This window comes from Homo sapiens, chromosome 4 (assembly GCF_000001405.40).
Source record: "Homo sapiens chromosome 4, GRCh38.p14 Primary Assembly".
Classification (NCBI taxonomy): Eukaryota; Metazoa; Chordata; class Mammalia; order Primates; family Hominidae; genus Homo; species Homo sapiens.
Window position 1 is genome coordinate 182,442,125 of NC_000004.12, and position 20,196 is coordinate 182,462,320.

General features: G+C 38.8%; 1 protein-coding gene across 31 annotated transcripts in view, besides 1 other annotated feature; it reads left to right on the plus strand.

Annotated features, from left to right (window-relative positions):
- The window catches only part of TENM3 (teneurin transmembrane protein 3), a 1,355,412-nt gene that overhangs the window by 994,512 nt on the left and 340,704 nt on the right, over positions 1-20,196 (plus strand). For 5 of the 31 annotated variants that reach the window (NM_001415960.1, NM_001415961.1, NM_001415962.1 and 2 more), the window contains exon 1: positions 6,892-6,959. The exons of 24 other annotated variants lie outside the window; for them this stretch is intronic. Coding sequence is in view for 2 of the 7 variants with exons in the window: in XM_047415948.1 (XP_047271904.1) it covers positions 7,306-7,324 (19 nt within the window). In the remaining 5 variants the exon portion in view is untranslated. Of the gene's footprint in view, positions 1-6,891; positions 6,960-7,033; positions 7,325-20,196 lie in introns of those variants that run through there. 2 more of the 31 variants (XM_047415948.1, XM_017008395.2) reach the window with 2 other exon arrangements.
- Positions 6,847-6,896: a silencer, noted in NCBI's record as "silent region_15821". NCBI's record gives its function as "represses an Ori minimal core promoter by ATAC-STARR-seq in GM12878 lymphoblastoid cells {active_cell/tissue: GM12878}" and the evidence as "EXISTENCE:reporter gene assay evidence [ECO:0000049][PMID:35858748]".

The following is a 20,196-nucleotide window of genomic DNA, read 5'->3' on the forward strand; positions in this document are numbered from 1 at the left end:
ATGGAGCATGTACTTCCTCTATCCACAATGATGCATAAATATATGTGCATACTCATAAATCGTGTTCACAAAGTCAGAAAATCCTGAAAAACACATTCTATATGACTATATCATGAAAACACCTGAAATTAATAATTATTATCTAAATTTATTTGTCAATAAAGATATGTTAAACTATTTGCAAAAATATCTTAGTACATATGGATTCTTTTGAAATGGTTGATATTATAAATTGTAAAGGGTTAATATAAAAGTTTGTGTGATTTCTATGTTCTGTCCACTGCATAAAGGATTTGATCTATGCACGGCTATTGCCACTATAGACAACTACCCATCTGACAACACCACTGCACTAGTCACCAATGAATAATTCTTCCTTTCTAAACAATCAAAACAAAGTACTTATAGTAATACATTTAATTTCAAAGATTTTTGACATTCAACCAAAAATGCTTGGTCTTTTTGTTTGTTTGCTTGTTTTTTTAGAGATAGAGTCTTGCTTTGTCACCCAGGCTGGAGTGCAGTGGCACAATCATGGCTCACTGCAACCTCCACCTCCGAGGCTCAAGTGATCCTCCTGCCTCAGCCTCCAGACTAACTGGGACTACAGGCATATGCCAGCACACTCGACTAATTTGTGTGTGTGTGTGTGTGTGTACATATGTGTGTGTGTGTGTGTGTATATACACATATATATACATATATATACATACATACATATATACACACACACACACACACACACACACACACACATATATATATATATGGGTTCTTTTCTGTAGAGATGTAGTTTCGCCATGTTGCTCAGGCTGGTCTTGAACTCCTGGGCTCAAATGATCCATCATCTCAGCCTTCCAAAGTGTTAGATTACAGGCATGAGCCACCGTGTCTGGCCTGAGAACCAACACAAGTGTTTTGGGAATGGGTGAATGGAATGATGGTTGGAAACAGATGGTCCAGATTGAAGAATTTGCTCCATAATTAAAAACAATTCAATCATCTTTATTTATCACACTTCCATTTCTTTATCTTGGACTGCCAAAGAATACATTCAAAATACTCCCCAAAATGTATTCATATTATCAAAGCCTAAAAGTCAGGTGAACCCCAATAAGTTGCCAAGCATAGACACATACTGCCATCCCTGGGTGGGCCTAGGAATTAGTGTGTCTGCAGCCCCTGAATCCAATGTGCCAGGGATAAGCAGCACTCCCTCTAGCTTGGCCACTCCTGTCCTTCCCTAGTCATGGAGGTTACTGATAAAACTAGGCTTCCATATACTTCTCTGTGCTATAGATTGTCTTCTAACATTGTTGGACACCTGATGGCTTGACTTGGGTTGGGTCCTCAGCTCTTGCTACGTACTCAGTTCCTGGCATCCACAGCCCCAGCTAACTCTTGCTGGCCATCTGGATTTCTCTTGAAGCTCTGCCCTCCTGCCTCTCTCCTGCTCTCACCACCAGGTAGGAATGATGTCCCTACCTCACCCCCTTCCCTCCTACTTGGATAGTTGCCAGGACAGGACTGAAGCTCACTAAGCCTTTCGTATACAGCACATTGCTTGACTGCCCCCTACAAAGAGTCCAGACCTCATCACACACACCCAGATCCTGCTTCCTCCTCCTCCCTGCCTGCCCAGGCTGTAGAGGACCCAGTAGGCTCCTGCCCAAGGTCATCTGAATTAGGACAAAATTAAGGACCAGTGCTTTTGGCAAGCAGTGGACATGATTGGATATCTAAAGAAAGAGCCCTAAGTCTTCATCATGTATCAGATTCCACAAAGCATTTGGTTTTTGGGGGGTGAAATAATTTAACACCTTTAAAAGTAAAGAGAACTCACCTTTAGAAATGATTTCAGATGTGGGTCATTTATTATTGTGAAATAAATATGTCTATTGTGGGTGGATTTTTCCATAGGGTAAATCAAAGAAAGAATCACCTAGCTATTACACTAGCCTTTTAGATTTACTGTAGACATCTGTGAAAAATTATGAATTGGCCTTTATTACAAGACTTTGTTTTCAAACCTTTATTTCTGTTCCAATGTAAATGATAATCGAACTTTACTGGAGAAAAGACCCATGATTTTAAATATAGTTTTATGTCAGCTTATAGTTTTACATCAGAGTCCATATAGCTGTTAGAAAGTTATGTGCTACTGACAAAATAACAGTTGGCAAAACATAAGACAAAATCTACAATTTTATTCACAGGATCTAACTAATGTACCATTATTATTACCAATTGATCTCAGTGTGCTATAATTTTGGTAACAATTTCTTTGATATGCTTTTAAAAATATATATATATTTACAAATAAAGGTATAATTTTTAAGAGTCAGTCTAAACAGACTAGATTCTAGAGGGACAGACATATATTGACCTACGACAATCCCTAATTCCGGTGTTTAGGAATGTTTGTTAGCCATTTTTTTCCTCTATAAGATTACAGCTCTCAGAGGATACTAATATTGGCCTATTTGTTTCCTGACCTCTTGAGGTAATTTGAAAACACAGGAGAAATCGAGGACTATCCCTTTTTTTATTTTGCTCCTTCTCAAATCCACAAGTTATCAATTTTTAAATGGAATATTATGTTTCCAAATCTTTGGTGGGGCTTATCCTGATAAATTTTATTTAAACGGTGAACTACACTCCTAACAACCAGCTTTCTTTTTTGTTGCGATGGAGTTTTGCTCTTCCTGCCCAGCTGCCCAGGCTGGAATGCAATGGCGCGATCTGGGCTCACTGCAACCTGCAACCTCCACCTCCCATGTTCAAGTGATTCTCCTGCCCTAGCCTCTCGAGTAGCTGGGATTACAGGGGGATGCCAACACACCCGGCTAATTTTTTGTATTTTTAGTGGAGATGGGGTTTCACTATGTTGGCCAGGCTGGTCTCGAACTCCTGACCTCAGGTGATCCACCCACCTCGGCCTCCCAAAGTGCTGGGATTACAGGTGTGAGCCACCGTGCCTGGCCAATAACCAGCTTTAACTATTGAGTCAATACTGTCTAAATATTTAGAGAAATGGTTAAGCGGCAGGCTCCTGAGTCCATCAAACCTGGAACTGTGTTTAGGCCCAAGCACTCTGTAACTATGTGGGCACATGATTAACTTCTCTAAGCTCCAGTTCTTCATCTATAAAATGGGATGATATTACTCTTCTCATATGAGATTAGAAAATTAAATAAAAATGGTGTGTATCAAATGCCAGTCATAAAATGAAGTGCTTAGTGTTAGCTTTAATCATAATCATCTATTTAGTATAGCTATGAGTGTTTGATTTTGATTTTGTATTAGCACCTCTGACAATGTGGATTTGGTACTTAATAATTAGCGGGAAAGGTAATAATCTCAGTGTCGGTTACAATTCGATTTTTCTTCAAGGTTTTTGTCCTAAGGAGAGAGAGGTCAGAAGCATTCTTAATATGAAGCTAAGTTGGTGCCAGTTTGAAGTAACAGCTCATTTGTGGACTTTTTATTTTTTTTTTTAAATACAATTTGCTTTGATTTGGTTTGGTTCATGCATTTTTAAAAATCTTCCTCGTGGTGTTCGGTCATTAGATTTTTATGCCTAAAGAACTGAATTCAGTTTTAAGTAAAATTCATTTAATATTCCAAGTATGATTCCACGTGGTTATTCATTCACAACATAAAATAGCCACATAATTCAATATATTTGATAGTGTCTGCTCATGGAACTGTGGGGAATTCCGCAGATCTTAGACAAGAATTGCTTAAGTTATAGAAGGCGATATCCATAATGCTAATTATCTCTGACATCATCGATATGGCAAACTATAGTAGAAGAAAACAGAAGTTGAACGTGGGCCTCATTACACGTCTCTGTGGAACTCTTTGGTGGACTCCTGTATTTAAAAGACGGCAGTGATTTAATGTATGCATGGGGGTGTCCACAAAACTGTGTATCTTTTCTTGGGAAGATATATGTGGAAACCATCCTTCACTTTTCAACAATAGAAATTGTTTAAAACCATGTCTCTTCCTCTGCCTTTGCCCCATGGGCTGCTACTGCTACTGCTCAGCTTCGTTCAGTGTAAATCCTTGATTATTCTCAAAGGATCCCATCTTTGTCTAATTTGGAAATACATAATTAGTTTTGTATTCAGAAAAGGTGGAACTAGATATACATGTAGAATACTCCAGTACACTCCAATATAAAATTTTGCCTAACCTGTATGTAATACTTATATCTAATTAGCATTTTAAATGGAAATTTTAATAAATGCTATCAATCAGTGACCAATTTACATAGCATTCATCTGGGGAAATGAGCAGGTCAGAGGATCAGTCTTCTTGAGATTCATCTTGACCCAAACAATGGTTTAAGATCTTAAAACCTTTCATTCTTCCATTAGTGTGCTTATCTTTCTGCATTCGAACGTTCTAGTCCAAGTCCAGATTTGCTAACTTGTGGTTGTCAAAAATCAAGGAGTGCATTTTTGAAGCATAGACAAGCCCCCAGGTCCTAGCACTTTTTTTTTTTTTTTAAGAGACGGAGTCTCCCTATATTGCTCAGGTTGGTCTTGAACTCCTGGGCTCAAGCAGTCTGCCTGCCTCCATCTCCCAAAATGCTGGGATTAGAGACATGAGACATGCCGCCCAGCCTCTTGGCAAATTTTAACCGTGTAATGTTCTGCCAATTTAATTCTTCAAAGATTCCAATTGAACAACATCATCTTCATCCTCTGCCCTAGTTATATGGTGTTTATTTGCAGTTACTTCAGGTGACCCCCCACCCCCCTCAGAAGACACATGCATTGCATTGATTTGTGAAATGATCCTTTTCAAAACATTAAGACTTAAGGAAGATATTTGCTTAAGAGCTTAGAAGTTTTGCAGTGCCCAACAACATACCTATTGTTCTATTTTTTGACCCAATTTACTAAAGAGAAAGAATTTCAAAACCCTGAAATAACTTCAAAATTTATACAGTGTCAAAGGAATGTCTAAATTTTAAATAACCGCCTTGTGTTTAAATAATTTCTATGATATCTTCATAGTGTCCCAATTAAAGGGTGAATATATTGATCATTAACGGAGGAATAGACAGGCTGGTTGTGACGTTGTAATAGAGTGTGTTTGTGAGTCACGATTTTAGAGACCCAGAGTTAGTGATAGAAAAAAAAAAAAACTAAGGTGTGGAGACTGCTTAAACCCTGAGCGGCGTTAGATATTTCCATGTATGAGGATGGATGTCTTAGACGTAATGGAAAATGAGAAAGAAAAGTATCTACAAAGAGGTAGAAGAGCTGTATTCATATTCTTGTAGCATTGGGTATAAAAAGCGACAAAAGTCAAGGTAAAGCTAGTATGTTCAAGAAGATAAGGAAATTACTGTTGTTGTTGAATCATGGGAATGAGGAAAGCATTTTGTCTTTACTGGAGGAAAGACCGTGGGGGAAGAGAGAAATTCTAATTGCAGTCTGCTAATCTTACTGATAAATGAAAAGAGAACACTGATCCTTCCTTTCTTAAAGTATTAATTTTTTGGTTTGGGTCTGTATTTAGAAGGTAGTTAAAATATGGAATGAGAGCTGATAAAGATATGTTGTTGATACTGGTATTGTGATGTAAGGTGCTTCATGTTTTCCTTGTTTCTTTATAAAAATGAGAGGTTTGGAGGGATTGGAAGAAAGCACCGGTGAATCTAAAAATTCACGAACATTCAGTCATTCAATTCTCAGTTTAATGGAGGAAGAGGCTGGAGGGGATGGAATGTTCTGGAAGAAAAATTAAAGGAAGGACGTTGGACTGGAAGCAATGCAAAAATAATGATAATAGTGGATCTGGAGGGGAAAAAACACAATTTTTTATAAAAATTTAAGTGATGCAATGTTGAAGTATGTTTTATTTAAAAGTAAAGCTAGTTAGAACACCACATGAGCTATTCCGGATCAGGGCTGTCCAGCCCTGGTATATCATGGAGAGTGGCTCGGGCCACTTGCACACATGCCTTCAGCCCCTGGTACCGTCTTCTCTCCCCGGGTCGCGACACTGACTCGTCAACGTTAATGGGGGTCCGCGACTGCTGCGGGGACGAGGGCGCAGAGCAGCCCCCGCCACGGGCCGGTCCACGCAGGGGCCGAGAAAGTGGCGGAGAGGCGGTGGCCGAGGCCCAGGGGCGAGCGCGGGCTGAGCTGGTCCCTGCTGCGTTCACGAGCGACACCCACCCCTTCGCTGCGGACGCCCCGCGGGCGCCAGGCTGGGGGCCCTGCGACCGACCCCTCCCGCCCCCGAGGTACCGCCGGGCCCGCCTGGCAGGCAGCGCGTCCCGCGAGCTGGAGGGCCGAGTTTCGCGGGGCCGTGGGGCGTGTGGGTGAAGGCGACACCTCGGATGCGGGACGCATGAATGGTGGCAGAGCAGGGGTCGGGATCCGTTCATGGGTTGGGAGAGAGATGCTTTTGTGAGCACGGGAAAGTAGCGCTGCCGGAGAACAGCTCTGAGGCGGGATCAAAAGCCGCCGGCGAAGCCCCGCCGAGGAACACGGCCGCTGCCCGGGGCGGCTCGCGAGCGTGCGTGTGTGGAGGGGAGGATGCCGCCCCGCGGGGTCTTCGGAGGGTGCCGGGAGCGGGTTCTCAGTGCAGTTCCCCCGTCTTCGCTGGGGGCACGGCTGCTCACAGGCCCCGGCCCGCGTGTGTGGAGCGGGGCGAGGGGGTGAGGCGAGGGGGTGAGGCGGCGGCCGAGCCGGGGCGCTGGGCGCGGGGCTGGCGGGAGGCGGCGGTGGCGGCCCGGCGCGAAGGGGTTAAGCGGCGCACCGCCCCCTCGGCGGCCGGGTGTAAACAGAGGAGCCTCAGCCTATCATGTCTGGCCGCCGCGCGCAGCCCGAGCCCGGAGCCAGGCGCTGTAACACGATACGCTCCAGACCCAGGCAACTTGGCAGCGCTGGGCTCGGTTCCTCACGGCCACAGCGAGGGCGCGCCGCGGCAAGGTGGGTGAGCGGCGGCGGCGGCGGCGGCCTGGGGCGGGCTGGCGGAGCGCGGCTCCCGGTGAGGCTCCCCGCGCGGCAGGGTCGCTCGCTCGCTCCGGGGACCGCGGCGGTGGCGGTGGCGGTGGTGGCGGCGGCGGCGGCGGCGGCTCCGCTCTTCTCCCTTGTGGTGTCGGAATGGGAGGAGGCTCGGCGCGGGTTTGAATCGGTGCGGAGGCAACATTCGCATCTGAGATGAGGTGGCTTTTTAACCCCTGAGGGACCACATTTAAGGATTTCGAAGAGATGGAGGCTGAACTTTCTCGATGACTCTTCGTCACCCGGAGTGGTGCAGGTAGCCGCGGGGAGAATGGAGTCTTTTGTTCCCGGTATTTTTAATTAGATGGATTTTTTTTTTATGAGTAGTGTACTGTCCTAATCCGTGAGGCAAAGCTGCCCTTTTGCCTGCATTCGGTGACTTTTACGAATTCGTTGGGAGCTAGTCTTAGCAGTAGTGATTTTGGATAATTTATGTCTGAAATGTGCAAAAATCGGCATTGAGCTTAAATTAATAAGCCCTTTGGTTCCATTAACTAAAATCCATCATACTAATTGCTTAATGGGGGAAAAGGTACAAAATAAGCTTGCTCATTAAAGAGCAGTCTTTTGCCTGCGAAATACGTAGTGTGATTTTTGTCAGGTTTAATAGAGCAGTCTCTCAGAGAAATTCAACTTTGCAGTTGTGCTTCGATGCAGGCTACTCCTGTGCAAAGATAGTTGGAGATGGTTTGGAAAAACTTGTGCTGTATCTGTTGAAGTAAAAATCATTTGCCATTGATGTGTGTAGTTCAATAAAACAAAGATCTGTGGCAGCTGTGGGAATGAGAAAGTCACATTTCCTCCCTCTCCTGTGCTGGCGTCTCTGTCTCTCTGGAATATCTTATAAATGATATATACAGCTATATGTGCCTGTGTCACAAAGTCATTCTGTCTTCTGAAAGCCTAATATAATCAAATTCAGTGCCTTAAGATGGTGTAGTTGAAGATTTGATCCCCTTCCACTAAAGTGGAAATACTTTCAGTAATTGAAAGCAGATTCACGTCTGGAGTTGTACAAGCCAAGGTTTTCATTTTTAAAATAAACCTTTTGTTCTCTGGTTTTAAATGTTTCAGAGAGCCATCCAAAGACCTCTGTGTGCTAATTGTTAAAGTAGTACTTAAGAAAGGATTGCAAATACCCAGAGAAGGCATTTAAGAAATCAGCTAACTTAACTAAGCCTCCCTCTCAGCCGAATATTTTAGTGCAGCATGTACTGGTCTGTGCCCCACATTGTTTTGTTTTTGTTTTTTTTTTCCAGCGGACTCCCAGGTATTAAAATGCGACTGCAGCGTTCAAAACACTCTAGGCAGAGGCCATCTGCTATAAGAGGTTAAAAAACTTGAGAAATGTTGGTGTTATCCCATTTTATACTGTGATTTACACAATGTGATGATGAATTTGAGATCCGCTATAAAGTATGTTTAATTTAAAGAGGTGGTGATTATACATTAACTGAGAGACTGAAACTCACAAAAATATGAATGCAGGTGGTTCACCTGGTTCCTTTCTCTCATCTTCAGAGACTAAGTGTTAAAAAGCTTTAAAAAATTGGCTGTGAAAGACTGAAATTAGGGTACATTCTAGACAAAGAGGGAGTCACTTGATCTCTTATTAGCTGTGAAGATAGAGAAGAATAGTGCTGTATAAGAGCGTTACCTTCCTTCTTCAGGACATGATATCTAAAATGAGTTGTTTAATTATGAGGAAAAAGTTAAAAGAGTTGTACTTTTAACAATGACAGTTGACATCAGGAAAAGATAGAAAGGCGCATTCCAAATGTTTTTAATGACTAGTTTCTTAACCTGTTGTATTGATCATTAATAAGATGTGAATGGACGTATTTCCAGAGTATGACATGGCAGTTTGATTTCTTAGAAACTGCTCGGTAGCCCTGCATTTTACCTTGTTTTCTTGCCTTCTCAGTAGTTTATCATTGCAGCACATTATAGTAAATATGGCCATAATTCAAATGATATTCTTGTTATTATGTAAAAGCCCTCTTTTATAAAAAAATATTTAAAGTATTCAGCAGATTTTTAATTACCAAATAAAATCATACTAAATTTTGGCTGTTGCGTCACGTTTCTTAGATAGCAGTGGCCTAGTGTGGGGCATAATAGAATTTAATTCTTCTCGAAGATTTAGAAAAAGAAAAGCGACTTCACATGGACTCTTCTACTGATGTCTGAACACTGATTTTCAGTGTAATATCCTTGTCTAAACATTTAAACTAAAGCTTTTTGTGGCTTCTATTTACTGTTAGTTTTTATGTTCCTACATATTTTTACTTGGTTAAAGGGGTGCACAGGATCTTCTGGCATCTGGAATAATACATTCAATTTTTCACGGGACTCCTTTCTTTCATAACGTAGGCAAGTGGCAAAGGAGGCACTGTCTAAATACAGTGATCCTGATAATTAATGCTGTAAAATAGATTAAAATGCTGTATTTCAGGTATTCATTCCCTTAAAAGGGCCACCAGAACAGCGTTGCTAAGCACCCGTCACTACTGCAAGTAACAGAAAATGACCCAAATTAAAGAACCTGTTCTAAGCTGTATTCTTGCATTTTCTAAAGTTCATTTCAAAAGATTTAACAAGACTCATTCAATTAGTGGGGAAAAAAGATCTGTTTTCAGCTCTGATCAGCAATTAAGAGACTGGGCTTTGGAACATCAGTTCTTTATGTTTATAATTTATTTCGTTTGGTAGGCTTTACTTTAAACAATTGTGAATAAAGATTTTTAACAAGCCACCTTTCTAGCAATCCAGATGTAAATGCTAAATACAGGACAATATATTTGTTTTAAATTTTTATTAAAATGAGTTATTTTATAGTAACTTTGCCTCATTTAAAGAAAGTTTAAATTTCACACTAATATGATATATTAATGCTTTATTATGGATTTCTTACTCTGTGAAAATCTATATGTATACATGCACACATACAGACATATGTAGTTTAGATTAAAGGATGGCTGTAATTATTCTATCTTATCATAGATGTGAGTGCTTTAGCACCTAACACTTGAGAAATAGGATGTTCTTCCTTAAGGATATTTGAATGTTGTGGGAAAATGGTACCATGAAGGAGATAGAATGGTTTGGTGAAGAAAGTAAATAAATAAATTATTAGGAGCAGAAGTTTTCTTTTTAGATTTTTTTTTTGGCAGGGGACGGGGGGCGGGGGGGTGTCCAGTAAACTGTACCCTTCTGGGTTAGACCAGAACTTCTAAGTAGTTGTGGCCAAATGGTTAGATCTTTCAGTGGCCTGGTTCTTAGCTAACACAACTGCAGTCACAAATACAAGCTGCGGAACTTCCTGGCAGAGAGAAAGGAATGAAAGGATAAGGGCTATTAGAGGAGTGGGAGAGAGGAGCAGGCGGGTTCCCAAAGGTTCAGATTAGGATCATTAGTGAAATTTTTTGCTGGATCACTTTGATCTAGACAAATCTAAAGCATATAAATATGGATTTTAAGTTATGAATGATAAGTGCTATTTTGGCTATAATCACGTGAAGTGATTCATATCCAGAAACATTGACTGTTTTAAAGCCCAAGTAACACACTTCTTTATTCTAAAGAGATGTTTTGCATTAGAAATTTATTATGCTTAGATTTATCAATTTGGTATGACAGATAGTTCTAGCAATAGATAATGTGCAATAAATAAAAGTTGTATAACTCTTGTTGGAGTTTTGTCTGAGATGAAAAGTTATTCTAATACTCATTTTTGCATAAGGCCTTTTGACCTGAATTGAGTTCTCTTGTTGGGTATTTGGAATACCTTGTCTTCTGATATGTCCGAGTTTGGTTTTCCCTATAAAGAATAACAATGTGTGTACTATAGAGATTATTTTTATATGTGTATATATATATATATATGCATACATATATAGCAGGTTTGAAAGGATGGTATTTTCATATTTAAGAAACCAGTTGTTTTAGGATTGTTGTTTATACATTGATTTTTGTTACAGACCCAGCTCTTCAGTTGAAATCCTATGTATTTAAGTTTTGAAATGTCTACTCTTAATTTTTACTGTTGAAAGTAAAAATTTTACTATTGGCAGTTGTTTTGCAGGTTGAAAACCACTACCTTTTTGGTCTCCCAGAAACAGTTTATGCCACAGATGTTATGTTGGTACGATGGTAAATTCATTTTACAAGGGAGGAATAATAATTGAAAAGTACACGCAAATATTTGTGGGCATGTCACATTTAAATAATAGTTAAATTTGGGAAACGACATACTATAGTATTTAAAAGAAAAACAGAGTTTCTCTCTTAAATGTTATCATTCCCCTCACTTAATATTAAATAGTGTTTGACATAAATGTCTTGGTTTGTACATTGAGGAGGCAGAATATATTACAAAATGTAACAAAATGACTAATATGGGACTAACATAAAAAACACTTTAGTCTTTTGTGGTTATATATATTAACTTAAAATTTGTAAAAAATTAAAACGATGTGTGGAAGTTTCAGTGAGTTGTTTTCATCCTGGTTTGTGCACAGTGCCTTTTTTTCCTTAACCTTAAACTGCAGGGAGAGATGGGGCCTGCTGTCTAGAGACCTGTAAAATGTAATCTGGATCTCTTTTTATGCCTTTTCTTTTAAATAAAACAAAATTACCTTATATAACAAGTTTAACATTGTTAACCTTTTATAATTATCTAACCATTATTTCATTTTACCTCCTGCTTCAAAGTTGTAACCTTTTATAATTATTTAACCATTATTTCATTTTACCTTCTGCTTCAAAGTTGTACATTAGCGGAGTAGACACCTGGCTGAGCTCTTAAAAGTTTATTTGGCTTTCAATTCCTGTGATAGTAGGGGGCAGTACATCTCCTTAATTATCTTTGTTCAGGGAAATGCTGAAAGGCCAGGGTAGTTAAACAAGGCCATTTGGATTTGTGAGGTCGAAGTCAGATGCAAGGAAAGTGGTTAAATGCATTATCATCTTATTGAGCCCATCATCAGTAAAGTGACCTTGATGGAGGTGGAAAAAGCCATTTGGCTATTTTATGACAGCCACCCCTGCTTGTTTTATCATTTACACATTTTTACATATGGCTTTATCATATTCTTTCTTTTCGTTTTCAAATATTATTTCCTCTGATTGTAGATCGTCAGAATGAAGGTGAAAATTAAAATTAGTTTCTTTTTAATGATAGTTAGAGTTTCTTTCATAAGTGTGTTTCATACATCGATTTATATGGAAATACCCCTTCATTAAAAATGAAGGTGATCAGGTTAGCTAACCATTCTGTATTTGCTTTTAAGGGTCTTTTAATGATGATGATTAGTCTTTTTGCAAAGAAGCTGCAATTCTGCTACTTTTCAAACTGTTTTTAAGCTAGTAAGAGGAAAGACTTGCCAACCTCGATTTTAGCAGTGGGAATAATGTTTGTTTTAACAAGTGCCTAAGTATGTTTACTTGAAAGTTATTCAAGTTTTAGTAGTTCTATTGCTGCCGTTCTGGAGTCATCACTTCCATTACGAAATTAAAACAAAGTCATAAGATTTATAGTTTATATTTCTTAACTTTATGGCCAAGATTTTCCTTGTGATGTATTTTATATCAACTCCAATAAAATGGCATTCTTGCTTATATGTTTGAACAAGTATTGTTCAATAAGAGGAAGAGTTTTATTAAACGCAGTACAAGAGCTAACGTTTTTGGAAACTCCAGTTAAAGCAATTAAGTGCTGCATACAAGATTTTTGTTTTCCTAGGCAAAGCTGTGAAACATTACTGATTGGAGTTTAGCGTATGCTTCACTTTATACTGAATTCTCTTTTGTTACAATTAATGGGAGCTGAGTATGAATCTTTTTATCATATGAAAGAAAAAACTGGCCCATTACCAAAATACCTAAAATAATATTTCATACTTTATTGGAGATATCTCCTTATCATCATGCTATGAATTATGTAACACTAAAATCTCAGGGACTCAAGATCATCAAAAATAGTTCGTTCAGGAGAGAGTCACATTTTCTTGATCAGAAAGGACTTATTTGTTTAAGAATCATTTATTTAAAGAACAAATTGGATCAAAAGGTGTTTAAAATGAAGTATAAACTCTCATTCCCCCACTCTGTTCCCACCATCAGGGCCCAAATTCAAGCTCTCTTCAGTTCTCCTTAGACTAAGCTTTCCATTTGGGTTGCCCTGCCTTCTGCCTGTCTTTTCTTTAATCCAGCCTCCACACTGTCGTCACAGTTGTCATTCTGAGTTGTGTTTTATCAGTCCCTTGGTGACCATACCTCACCCTCTACTGCTCCTCCACTCCCACCTTCGCACCAGTATTTTCGCTGGTCGGTGCTGCCTGTGCCCCTTCCTTGCATCTCACAGAGTTTCCAAGAGCTGACTTGCATGGTATTTCTTTTTTTTTTTTTTTTTTTTTTTTTTGAGACCGAGTCTCACTAGGCTGACCAGGCTGGAGTGCAGTGGCATGATCTCGCCTCACTGCAGCCTCCGCCTCCCGGGTTCAAGCGATTCTCCTGCCTCAGCCTCCCGAGTAGCTGGGATTACAGGCGTGCACCAACACACCCAGCTAATTTTGTGTATTTTAGTAGAGACAGGGTCTCACCATGTTGGCCAGGCTGGTCTCGAACTCCTGACCTCAGGTGATCCACCCGCCTCAGCCTCCCAAAGTGCTGGGATGATAGGCATGAGCCACCGCACCCGGCCTTGCACAGCATTTCTTGTGGCTCCTCCTCCTCTCGGGCTTCCTTAGCACCTGATTCTTATTTCTGTGAGCACTTAACACATTATCCTGTAGTCATTTGTTTACATTTCTGTCTCCCCCACTAGGGGGACAGGTTCTTTCAGAAAACCACTTTGTCTCATTCGTCCTTACATACCAGCACTAAGCATGATGCTAAGAAAATAGTTATTCCATAAGTCTCGAATGCTTATTGGATGAGTACACTAAATATAATTTAATTTTGTGGTGATGGAAGGTCATTACAAACATCAGTTATTTTATTGTTCTGTGTGAAAATATAATGGCTTACATAGGAGCTGATAAGGCTGAGTATCCCTGTCTAACTGGCCTGTCCGTGCTGTCAGCTTTCACTTCTTACTACTGCTCTGTCATCAAACAACACAGGTTATTTTGTTGTTGTTATTGTAATGTATGAATGAAATAAGAACAGAAAGGTTCTGAGTAAAGACTCAGAGCTAATTTCATTAACTTCATTAGTTTTGGCTTCTCTGAAGACCTTTTGGCTTAATGCCTCCATTTCTTTGCATTTTCTGTTGGGTGAGATTTTGGGGTAGCTAAGTTCCGATAGGTGTTAGGTGTTTAGGTGAAGCAAAATGTTAATTTCCACAATGAAAAGAAGTTCATTGAAGCCTAACAGTAAGTTTGAGTAAGAAAAAAATGTTAACTTACATGTACAGTTAACTTGAAATGTATATACATTGATAAAGATACTCATGATTATAATTTTTTAAAAACTGGTAAACATCATATCTAATGCAACTCTCTTTGGATGACTAAAGTAGGGAAGAGATAATCTTTAAGATGATAATTTAGAACAAGAATCAGTACACCTTCCGTGATTGTGTTACCAGAAGATTAATAGGTGAGGAATGTTGGAAGGACTGACAAATGTTTTGCCGTCGAGAGATTTACAGGTGAGGAGTACTAGAAGAAGAGGAAAAGAAACTCCGTATTTCTGCTCTCTTGCTCCATCTTCATCTACCTTAAGAACAAAAACAGCTGGGCCCGGCATGGTGGCTCATGCCTGTAATCCCAGCACATTGGGAGGCCGAGGCAAGTGGATCACCTCAGGTCAGGAGTTCAAGACCAGCCTGGCCAACATGGAGAAACCTGGTCTTTACTAAAAATACGAACAAATTAGCCGGGCGTGGTGACATGCGCCTGTAATCCCAGCTACTCGGAAGGCTGAGGCAGGAGAATCTCTTGCACCTGGGAGGCGGAGGTTGCAGTGAGCCGAGATTGTGCCACTGCACTCCAACCTGGGTGACAGAGCAAGACTCTGTCTCTCAAAAAAAAAAAAAAAAGAACAAAAACCCCACAATACTCTAAAAACCAATTTTACTTTTTCCTGAGAAAATGAATAGAATTAGAGACTTTTAGAACTGAAGATAATCTTCAAAATTATGTAATCCAGACTGGACATTTTCTAAGAAGAGAAGCCAAGGCCTAATAATAGCTGACATTTATTATTTACTGAAAGATAAGCATCTGTGTTAAACCCATTATATATGATTTCATCTCATCTTCAGAACAACTCATGAAATTAAATACTTTTATGATCTCTATTTTAAAGATATGGAAACTAAGTCATAGAACAGTTAAGTTGGTTGTTAGTGAGAGGTTTGAACCCAGACATGCAAATACCTAAATCATGTATATCTTTTTTTTTTTTTTTTTGAGGATAGACCTTGTCTCGATACCTAGACTGGAGTGCATTGGCATGAACACGGCTCACCACAGCCTCCAACTCCTAGGCACAAGTGATCCTCTCACCTCAGCCTTGCCAATGGTTGGGACCACAGGTGTGTGCCACCATGCCCAGCTAATTTTTTAAATATTGTTTTGTAGAAAAAGGGTCCCACCATATTGCCTAGACTAGTTTCCTAGCTCCTTGGCTCACGCAGTCCTCCTGCCTCGGCCTCCTAAGTGTTGGATTACAGGCGCGAGCCACCACATCCGGCCTGTCTTTCTTCATTACTGAATTCTGCATCCAGTGCAGTTGTCAAATTAGGTTTTGTTTTGATTTTAGTCCTAAATTTTGCTTTACATGTAAGTTCTATTTCCTATTCTAGAATAGAAATATGATACCAGTCTATAACTTTTCATAAACGTTGTAACCATTGGATGTTACAAACATTCTCATATTTGCTCAAGGCAAATCATTTAATTTATCAAGTGCTTATTGAGGCAATATATGTTTTGTATTGTTCTCCTGTTTTTGTTTTTAATTCAGATTTTTTAAATGAGGTGTGATCATCTATGGTATAGCTAATGTCCACTCTCTGATTAATATCTAGCAAGGATTAGCATCATTGATTTGAAAATTAATAGATTATGCTTTTATTGACATTTCTATTCCCCATTGAATGGCTTGTTTATTTAATTGATGGCTAATGTTTTTACTATTAAAGGCTATTAACACATCAGAATGGTTTTTATTGAACCTGGCAAAATGATAGATTATGTTTGTGTTTACTCCTTTGTGCCTAAGGCTAATTATTGGTGGTCTTTTTATGGTTTTGGTCAACTAAAACCTTCCGGTTAGGAAGTTGAGTAAATTAGCAAACTTATCTGGTGGTGTGACCTTGGAAAAGTCGCTGGACTTTTCTGGATTGCTACCTGTAAAAGGAGGGAAGTGAACCAGATCAATGATTTTGAACAGCGTAGCTTCTTGTAGAAGTTCTGTAGAGTTTCTTCAATTCTCTGATTCAGAATTCTTAAAAAAAAATCAAACTAAAGTGGTAATAAAACATAATGTGAACAAATAAAATAGATACTAAATGTTTACATTTGCTACTGGGTTAGTTTATTTTTCCATACATGTCCTGCTTTCTTTGTGTATGTATTTGTACTTTTTGTGGTATTTTGGTGAATGCAGCTTGCCTAAGGAATAAGAAGTGACAGCATCCTCTGCAGAGAAATCCTAGGAAAAAAGGAGTGTGCTTACTCACCAGCTTCCAGGGAAATGGTTGTGCTATGGACTGCATATGCCTGCCACTTTTGGTATTTGGTCGTAATAGAGATTCTAAAAATGAAGGGGGTTGTCCTTATTATGAATAGATTGTTACTTTTCCAATGTTCCGTTATAGTACCATTCACCAAACTTTTTTGAAACTACTTTTTTGAAATTGCGTTTATTTCCAAGTCACAGATAAAAATAGTTCTTGTTATTATAGGCATTCCTCATTTTGATGAAATACCAATTTAACTAGTTTGATTGCTTGCCTTCCTTCACAGGCTTGACTAACCAGCATTTCAAAAAAATTAGATCTATTCCCGAGAGAGTATTTACCACAGTTAATTATATTCAGAAAAAAATAATGCTAAAAGCCTGTGAGGCCTTTTCAAAAGAGAAATTTCTCAGTATTATATTGAGAAATGACTTCTGAAAAAGGCAACAACTCCTGTGTTGACCACTTTGAAAGCAATAGTATTCATCTCGGTGAATTCTGGAGTTTTTAAGAGTTGAGTGACAATACATTATAGCCCTTTCACGTGTCATGATTAAGGGCTGAACCAGAATGGTGTCTTTAATGGGTAGAACAATTAAATTTTGGAATTCAGAATCTAAGGCTTTATACATTAGTTATTTTTAATGTGCAATTGTTTGTTTTAAACAAGATTCGTGGCCTTTTTTAAACTATGAAGGTCTGTGAATGTATGATAATATGTTTGATTTCTTTAAAGTATATTTAAATTTCATGCATATTACATTTCATACAAAGGCAAAGCTCAGTCTTCACTTCTGTGCTTCCAGTTAGGAATAGGAGATTCAAAGTACAAAGTCTTTCAAAAATTGAAAAAAAAATTATTTGCTTTCATGCTGAGATATCAGTATAAACACCCGATTTATTCAAATACTTATTTATCTATTAATATTAGTCATTAATACTGATTAATACTTGAGTTTTTCAGGAGTTGGGCATCAGAATTGTAAACTTAAAGTATTTGTCTCACTTCAGTTGAGGCAGAATGAATAGAATTAAATATTCAAGATTTCAAAAATATATTTATTAAAAAAGTTGATAGTATCTTTTCAGTTAAAAATAACCTCCTTGTGTATTTTTTGTAAAATTCATCGCCAGCCCCCATTTCCAGGAATATCTCAATTAGCAATAAGGGGATGTCTCCTTCTAAATGCCTGTGGTGTACTTTAAATTCTAACGAGGTACCTTGTTGGAAGGAGACCACTTGAAGGTTTTATTAACCTCTGCAGTGTGAAAGTGAAAACACGCTGAAACGAGACAGCTAGTTCTACATTCTGATAAAACAATAGATCATCATCATGACCCTAGGACAGAGGACGTAAAAATTGAATAAAGAAAGGTACATTTGAAACAATACATTGAATTATTTATCTATGTCTTAAGCTCACATAGAATATAATTCTATGTATATTAGACTTATCTGTTTAAGACAATTTATTTTATATGACTTAGCCATAATCTGATAACATGACAATGTCCCAGAGCCTGATTCACATGGTACCAGAATATATGTCCGTCACAAAAATAAACCTGCTTCTATCATGGGGGAAAACATTTGGGGTGGCAAGCTGAAGTACACAGTAAATGTACTAGAGTTCTGTGAGTGAGAAAATATATACCAGCTATACACTAGCGGTTGCCTGTGAAAGGATGGAAAGAAACAAAATGAAGGAGAGACAAGAGAGGGGTGATAGTGGTGTTTAGCTGTCTCTAAATTTTATTTTTTTAAATAAAGCAGGATATCTAATGTAAACAACAGTCTGTGACATTATTTCATATGCTATTTAACACACAACAGCTACTTCTCATAAATGTAAGAGCACAAACCCATTTATATATTTCGGTGATGTTATTAACTAGTATTGCACTTTATTTCTTTTTAAAATGATGCTTAACCCAGTAATCACTGAATTTTAGTTGTACTTAGTCATGATTAGTGTAAAAATGTTTTTCTATAAAATAAGAATTAATATGTAATATTTAACTGCAGTCTATTTTAGGAACTTACTAATTTCTTAAGGAAAATTAATTCATAAATTTAAAAAGGGAATTTACGCAGCATTTGTTGAAAACCTACTATTTGCTACCTAGTAAGCGCTTTATCATCCTATTCATAATCATATAATTTTGAGTCCATTTAGACTAATTTCTTTCCACTTACATAGTCAATCCATAATCAACAGCTACTGACTCTAAAAACCAGATTTTTTGGATCTGTTTATTATAATGCAATCACAATCATAATTTATAATATCTTCATTCACTTTCCTGCCTTAAACTTTTCTCTTTAATCCAAAAAAGCAAATTATCTTGCTTGGGCATCACCTGATCTTCTCTCTCCCCTGCTCAGAAAGTCAGTGTCATATCAAGAAGATGCTTGAGTCTGATTGAAGTACAGGTAGGCTTATGGACAAGTGACAGGAGAAGGCTTTTCAGGTGGAGAGGCACATGAGCAAGTTTTAAAAGGTGGGGTATGAAAAGTATATTGGAGAAAATATCAAATGACCTACTTCGAGCATGAAGTTCACGAAAGAGAATTTTGGAAGATAAGGTTAGAAAAGTGGGTTGGAACCAGAACATGGAGGACCATGAATTTCAGATCAAAAGGTTTAAATGTACCTTTGAGATCCCTGGGAATTTAGCATAGAAAACAATCACACAGTAGTACGGTGTGTTTGGGGGAAGATCTCTCTGGTAGATGCTGTTAGATGAATTATAAAAGCAAGGTAGTATTAATAGAAGTAGAGAAACCCATTTGGACTCTTCCTACTATTACTTTCAATTCATGACTTCTTCTTAAACTTATTAAGAACAGTTTACCAAAGTAAACTTCACAAAGGCAGGGGACTTCTGTTCACTCTGGTATCTTCAGAGCCTAGAACAGTGCCTGGCACTGGTTGATGCTCAGCGGGTACTTGTTGAATTGAATGAATGAGACCCAGAAAGACCAAGTGACTGTTTTGAATTCACACAGCTAAGATAGGGACAGATCCAGGCCTAAAAATTGCACTCCCAGTTTGCTGTTTTCTTGACATGCTAGGCTGTCGTACAGGTCATTACTATTAGCGTGGCTTTTTCTTTGTCAACTCTTGTCAACTCTTACCCTAAATTCTTCTGAACTCTTCTTGCAAGTGATTGCAAACTGCCTCATATCTTACATACTCATCACAGCCTCCTCTGAGCTTTTTTTTTTTTTTTCCAAATTGAGACAGGGTCTCTGTCATCCAGGCTGCAGTACAGTGGTGCAATCATAGCTTACTGTAACCTTTAACTTCCAGGCTGTAATGATCCTCCTGCCTCAGCCTCCAGTCTGGCCCACACATTGCCACACCTGGCCAATTTTTAAATTTTCAGTAAAGACTGAGTCTCGCTACGTTGCCCAAGGCTGGTCTCAAACTCCTGGGCTCAAACAATCCTCCCACCTCAACCTCCCAA